We start from the raw sequence: 7,991 nt of genomic DNA on the forward strand, positions 1-7,991 counted from the left end.
GGAGAAACCCCGTCTCTACTAAAAATACAAAATGAGTCAGGCATGGCGGCACATGTCTCAGCTACTTGGGAGGCTGAGGCAGGAGAATCGCTTGAATCCAGGAGGCAGAGGTTGCGGCGAGCCAAGATCACGTCATTGCACTCCAGCCTGGGCAACGAGAGCAAAACTCTGCCTCAAAAAAAAAAAAGAAAGAAAGAAAGAAAAAAAGAAAAACAGAAATAGCCAACAAGTTTGGAAGTGTCACACAGAAATGTTTGTGTTTCTCATTTCTGTTGAAAAGGTGGAAGATCTCACCATACAAGACGTATTTCCACACAACAACAATCAGCTAGTACTGAAAAGCTCTCTTTAGATGGAGCATGCTGTTTGCACTTTGCAAAGTCCTCACTAATCCTTGTTTTTTGTTTTGTTTTGTTTTTGTTTTTGTTTTTGTATTTATTTTTGTTTTTGACACAGAGTCTCACTCTGTCACCCAGGCTGGAGTGCAGTGGTGTGATCTTGGCTCACTGCAACCGCCGCCTCCTAGGTTCAAGCAATTCTCCTGCCTCAGCCTCCTGAGTAGCTGGGATTACAGGCGCCTGCCACCGTGCCCAGCTAATTTTTGTATTTTTAATACAGACAGGGTTTCACCATGTTGGTCAGCCTGGTCTCAAACTCTTGACCTCGTGATCCGCCCGCCTCAGCCTCCTAAAGTGCTGGGATTACACACGTGAGCCACCGCACCTGGCCTAATCCCTGTTTTTCTCCAACAGTCTGCCTTACTCCTTTATACTATATGCCCCACCCCGTGTGGCCCCTTGGCCTAGAAGTTCATGGGGAGTAGGGGGAATTACACGAGTTGACGCTATTATATACTGCACCCTGAAAATGTGATGAGGGAAGTGGCTGAGAATATGAGTGTAGCAGGAAATGAATTACCTAAATCTTGGTAAGGCTAAACCTAGCTGATAGTCCTTTTACAATACTATGTAACTAAATTTTCATTTCTGTGTCAGTAATAAGAGTTGCATCTTTTTTTTTTTTTTTTTTTTTGAGACAGAGTTTCGCTCTTGTTGCCCAGGCTGGAGTGCAATGGCGCAATCTAGGCTCACTGCAACCTCCACCTCCCAGGTTCCAGCAATTCTCCTGCCTCAGCCTCCTGAGTAGCTGGGATTACAGGCACCCACCAGCACGCCCAGCTAATTTTTGTATTTTTAGTAGAGACAGGGTTTCACCACATTGGCCAGGCTGGTCTCGAACTCCTGACCTCGGGCGATCTGCCCACCTTGGCCTCCCAACATGCTGGGATTATAGGCATAAGCCACCGCACCCAGCCCCAAGAATTGCATCTTTTCTTAAAGACTGTCACCCTGAGTTTCTACTTTTGCTAGTTTGCATCTGATTTTTTTAGGCACATGCTTATGATTGTAACTGAACACAACTTGAATCACAAAGCGAAGAAAGACATTACAACCTCTAACAAAAACAACAGTACTCCTCGAAAATCTCACCCTTCACAAGTATCAAAGGCATAGTAAATTCAGCAGGGAAGAGTCAAAGAGGTCAGAAGCAACACTCTCTGTTGGTAACTAAAAATGAGACCAAAGATTACATCCAAACCCATAAGAGCCTGAAGTTTGACCCAAGTCCCTTTGTTTATTGAATGGAACCCTGTAGATAAACAAAGGAAGCAAAATGAAAAACACTTACCACCCCTTCACTGGGGGTGCACAATAAGACAAAAGCATTCCCAAATGAATCTTCAATGTGTGGGAGAGAAAGAGTTTTGAGTGACCTAAGATTGAATGAGATAATAGCACCTTATGTTTCTGTGAAATATTTGTCACCTTATATTTCTAGGAAATGACCAGTGTGTCATTCAAAAATGTAATACAATGAAAACGAAGTTTGAAGTTTCACACTCCTCATTTTCTTAAAACCATGCAAAGGCAAACAGAGATGTGATACTATGAGATTTCAAGGAAACTGCAGAGTCATAGTAATTTGATTCTAAAAACAGATGCTTGACAAGAAGTTATATTTAAATCAACCATCAATCTATCAGGACATAATTTCTGAAGTCAGTAATAAATAACCTTTCCATTTCATCCTCCCAATCACCATATGCATATAATTATGCTTTATGCTAAACAAGGTACATTATTTGATTTTTTTGTTGTTGCTGTTTTTTTTTGGTTTTTTGGGGGAATTTTTTCGGTTTTTTTGAGACAGAGTTTTGCTCGTTGCCCAGGCTGGAGTGCAATGGCGGGATCTCAGCTCAACACAACCTTCACCTCCTGGGTTCAAGCAATTCTCCTGCCTCAGCCTCCCGAGTAGCTGGGATTACAGGCATGTACCACCACACCCGGCTAATTTTGTATTTTTAGTAGAGACGGGGTTTCTGCATGTTGGTCAGGCTGGTCGTGAACTCCCAACCTCAGTTGATCCGCCCACCTTGGCCTCCCAAAGTGCTGGGATTACAGGCGTGAGCCACTGCGCCTGGCCTTTTTTTTTTTTTTTTTTTTTTTTTTTGAGATGGAGTGTCGCTCTGTGGCCAGGCTGGAGGGCAGTGGCATGATCTCGGCTCACTGCAACCTCTGTCTCCCAAGTTCAAGTGATTCTCCTGCCTCAGCCTCCTGAGTAGCTGGGATTACAGGTGCCTGCCACCATGCCCGGTTAATTTTTGTAGTTTTAAAAGAGACGGGGTTTCACCACGTTAGCTAAACTGGTCTCAAACTCCTGACCTCAAGTGATCCTTTCCTCAGCGTCCCAAAGTGCTGGGATTATAGGCGTTAGCCACCGCGCACAGCTGAATTTACATTTAAAATATCAAAAGCAATGCCTCAAAAATGTGGAAGAGTGTTTGTAACCCACACATACTGGAGGGTAAAAATTTAAGCCATGGAAATAATATTGTTGATCTCAGCAGTCCAAAAAATATGCAGCTAAATGCTCTCTTTTGTAGTGTATTTTGGCAGGCAATTTTGGAGGACAGGGTACAAGATATTTGAATAAGTCTGTTTTGATCCAGGAAAATTTTAACATGGTCTAAAATGCGAACCTTCAAGCTTTACATGAGTTTTTGTAAAAATTAAAATCAATTTTTAAAATAGATCAGTAATACATGCTCATAATCAAATGTCCAGACATAACAAAAGTAGAAAGACTATGAAAAAGATACAAAGAAGAAAATGAGAATCATTATAAACCCACTTCCCAGAGATAATTCTGTCCATTGTACCTTCTTCTAGAAATTGTTTCTAAACAAGTTTATTCCATATATATTGTTTGTAATCTATTATTTTCACTACATTATAGTGGACAGTTTTTCATGTAAACAAATACAGATTTTATCATCATTTTAAATGAATGTATAATATTTCACTGTACCTATGTATCACAACTTGAAAACAAATTCCTACAGATAGACATTTTGGTGTTTTGTTTTGTTTTTGGGACAGGGGTCTCACTATGTTGCCCAGGCTGGCCTGAAACTCCTGGACTCAAGTGTTCCTCTCACCTCACCCTCCCGAGTAGCTGGGACTACAGGTGCACACCACTTTACCTGGCTGGTTGTACCTCTTTTTTATAGTCATTTAAAAAATGCAGCCATGATCATCTTTGTATTCTCTTTGCACACGTACACAAAGTTTTTTGTTTTGTTTTGTTTTTTTTTTTTTTTTTTTTTTTGAGACGGATTCTCACTCTGTTGCCCAGGCTGGAGTGCGGTGGCACGATCTCAGTTCACTACAACCTCTGCCTCCCAGGTTCAAGTGATTCTCCTGCCTCAGCCTCCCGAGTAGCTCGGACTACAGGCATGCGCCACCATGCCCGGCTAATTTTTGTATTTTCAGTAGAGACAGGGTTGCCCAATGTTGGCCAGGCTGGTCTCAAACTCCTGACCTCAGGTGATCGTCCACCTCGGCCTCCCAAAGTGCTGAGATTACAGGCGTGAACCACCGTGCCCGGCCCCCAAAGATTCTTTAGCATAGTTTTGCAAAACTGGGATTGCTGAATAATAGAACAGACAAACTTTCCGTATTTATAGCAAAATTGCCCACCATAAAACTTGGTATCAATGTGTACTCTCACAAACAAGGTGTTAGAATGCCCAGGCTTTTTCTTTTTTCATTTTAAGAGAGTAAAAATGACTTTTTTTCTTTTGGTATACAGTTCTATGAATCTAAACACATGTATAGATTTGTGTTACCATGACCATAATTAGGATACAGATCCATTTCATCTCCCAAAAAAATTCCCTTGCATGTTCTTTATAGCCACACCCTCTCCACACACCTAAACCCCTGGCAACCGCTGATCTATTCTCTGTCCCCATAATTTTGTCGTTTCAATAATGTTATATAAATGGAATCCTAGAGTATGAAATCCTTCAGACTGACTTCTTTTACTCAGCATAATGCTTTTGAGATTTATCCATATTTGTTGCATGCATCAATGGTTCTGGGGTTTTTAATATTATTATTATTATTGCTAAGTAGTATTTCATTACATGGATGTTGCACAGTTGGTTTATCCATTCACACATTAAAGGACATTTTCTCTCAGTTTTTGGCAGTTATGAATAGAGCTGCTATAAAGATTCACTTACAAGTTTTTTGTGTGCAAGTATAAATTTTCCTTTTCCTAGCATAAATACCCAGGAGTGAGATTGCTGAGTCATATGGTAAGCGCATGTTTAACTTTACAAGAAACAGCTAAACTGTTCTCCAGGGTGGCTGTACCATTTTGTTTTCTCATCAGCGATGTCTGAGGGTTCCAATTGCTCCATATCCTTTTGAGCACTTGATATTTTCAGTATTTTTTACTTTAGCCATCCTAATAGATATATATTGGTATGAGTAAGCCTAGTTTTTCATCCCTTTTCAACAGTCTTATCAGTCTTTAACTTATGCCTACTATATATATATATATATATATATATATATATATATATATATAAAATGTATTATTGTTTTGATTTATATTTTCTTTGATTAAACTGAAAAATAATATGGATTAAATAAAAATAAAGATTAAACATCTTTTCATGTTTATCGGTGTTTAAAATCCAATGTTTATTCTTTCCTTATTTATCTGTTAAAAGCTCTTGTTAAACCAAGTGTTTCAACTTTCTGACTGTTACATGTGTTGCAAATATTTTTACCAGATTGCAATCTTATTTTAATCTGTAAATCTTTTCCTTTAGGGCGTCTGGCTTTGCTGTTTACAGATTCTTTCTCCATTTCAAGATGATAGAAATATTCAACTTCAAATTTCTTCAAGCACTTGCATAAATTATTAAGCATTTGACTTTATTGGTACCAGTCCCCTCCACCCAAGTCCAATGAGGGGAGACTCAGAAATGGGTTAAAGGTCACGGCAGTCAGCTGTACTTACTGTTTGATAATGAAAACTTTTTTCAAAAAGTGTTTCCTTGTCAGCAGGGATGATTTTATATAACCACATCAAAACATTTAGTAAAATATTCTGCTGAGATTTAAAGTAAAAAGTCAGAGATACAGCAGGGGTAGTAGGGACATTGTTCTAATTCTTTGTGGGAAGGATGGGGTGGGGGTGAGGAGAGACTCCCTGGTGAAACTTTGCTAAGAATTAGATCTCTTTAGGCCAGGCGCGGTGGTTCAGGCCTATAATCTCAGCGCTTTGGGAGGCCGAGGCGGACGGATCACTTGAGGTCAGGAGCTTGAGACCAGCTTGGTGAACATGGCAAAACATGGTCTGTAATAAAAGTACAAAAATTAGCTGGGCATGGTGGTGCATGCCTGTAGTCCCAATTACTTGGGAGGCTGAGGCTGGAGAATCACTTGAACCCAGGAGGCGGAGCTTGCAGTGAGCCAAGATCACACCACTGCACTCCAGCCTGGGGGACAGAGCGAGACACCATCTCAAAAAAAAAAAGAGTTACAACTAATTACAGATTTTGCCTTTGCTACAAGTGTAGCTCAAATCTCCCCCTAAACAGTTGCTGGCATAGTCAAGTATACCTGGGTCAGTACCTCAGAGCCCTTGACTTGATTTTTTCTCCTTCTTTATCATGAGGCTTACCATCTCCTGCTGCAATGAATTAATATCCAAGCATTTGCTTTGTAGAACATCCTTACAGACACCTTTCTCACGTGTAGTGTTTCCACACTGGGTTCTTTTCCTTCGTGTTGTTTACTCTCTTGCATATTAATTTTTTCTCTTTTCTGTAGCTTGCTTCTCTGGCTCTCCTCAACACCAATCCCAGTCATGGAGCCTCTTCCTCTGCCTTTATCCTGAAGATCACTTTTAGGGAAGCCTCTGCTTAGTTCACGCCATTCTCCTGCCTCAGCCTCCTGAGTAGCTGGGACTACAGGGGCCTGCCACCACGCCCGGCTAATTTTTTGTATTTTTTTTTTTTTAGTAGAGACAGAGTTTCACCGTGTTAGCCAGGATGGTCTTGATCTCCTGACCTCGTGATCGGCCCACCTCTGCCTCCTAAAGTGCTGGGATTACAGGTGTGAGCCACCACGCCAGGCCAATTAGTTGTAACTCTTTAGTAAAATCTAAGAGTTTTTATATTTAGTAAATATTTATATTTACTAAATTTATATTTAGTAAAATATAAGACAAACTAATGGTTTGTCTATATGTTATACATAAATTATAAATAAATTATTCCCAAAGGCATTCCTTTTTTTTTTTTTTTTTTTTCCGGAGATGGAGTTTCACTCTTGTTGCCCAGGCTGGAGTGCAATGGCGCAGTCTCAGCTCACTGCAATCTCCAAGGCCTCCTGGGTTCAAGCAATTCCCCTGCCTCAGGCTCCCAAGTAGCTGGGATTACAGGCGCCTGCCACTACGCCCGGCTAATATTTGTATTTGTAGTAGAGATGGGGTTTCACCATGTTGGCCAGGCTGGTCTTGAACTCCTGAACTCAAGTGATCCATTTGCCTCAGCCTCCCAAAGTGCTGGGATTATAAGCGTGAGCCACTGCGCCCAGCTTTTAAGGCATTCCATTTTTAAAGATTGTTTAAGAATCCCGGATGTTCGTCATTTATGTCAAAAATTCCAAGTTCCTGTCATATCTAAGATGGAAACAAAAATCATATCCTCTCACAAGTTCTACCTGCATACCTGCCTACCTAGCAGAATGGAAACAGAGGATTCCATGATACGGCTGAAAATAAAGATGTTACCAGCGTATATGTTATCATCATCACTATCTTTAGAATGGTTGCTTAATTCGTATTTTAGTATCATCATTGTCAAATAGTGAAATGTTTATAAAATGTCAACAATTGATCCACAAGCCACAATAAGTGAAAGTAATGAGAAAATTATCAGGATAATTAGAGCCAAAAATAAGTTCTTTATATAAGCTTGAAGACAGAATCTCTGAATGCCCATAATTATCTATCTGATGATGTTAACAATTGCTTTAGGCATTTTTTTTTCAGTAAACATTTACGGGGTACCACCCATGTCCCATACACCGTGCTAGGTCCTACCCATGCTTTGAAGTAGCTCTCAGCTTAGAAGAGGGAGAAAGCAAGTAAGAATTAACATTACATGAAACAAGCTATGAAGAAGGTAGAAGCCAGGAACTGAGGAAGCACAAATGAGCGACGACTCAGCCTGAAAGGTCTGAGAAAGTTTCAAAGAGGAGTTGACAACTCAGCTGAGGATTTCTTTTTTTTCTTTTTTTTCTTTTTTTTGTTTTTTTTTTTTGAGGCAGAGTCTAGCTCTGTCGCCCAGGCTGGAGTGCAGAGGCGCAATCTTGGCTCACTGCAACCTCCGCCTCCCAGGTTCAAGCAATTCTCCTGCCTCAGCCTCCCGAGTAGCTGTGGGATTACAGGCATGTGCCATCACGCCCAGCTAATTTTGTATTTTTAGTAGAGACAGGGGTTTCTCCATGTTGGTCAGGCTGGTCTCCAACTCCCGACCTCAGGTGATCTACCCACCTCGGCCTCCCAAAGTGCTGGGATTACAGGCGTGAGCCAGCGTGCCTGGCCCTGAGCTGAGGATTTCTCCA

This window comes from Homo sapiens, chromosome 9 (genome assembly GCF_000001405.40).
Source record: "Homo sapiens chromosome 9, GRCh38.p14 Primary Assembly".
NCBI lineage: Eukaryota > Metazoa > Chordata > Mammalia > Primates > Hominidae > Homo > Homo sapiens.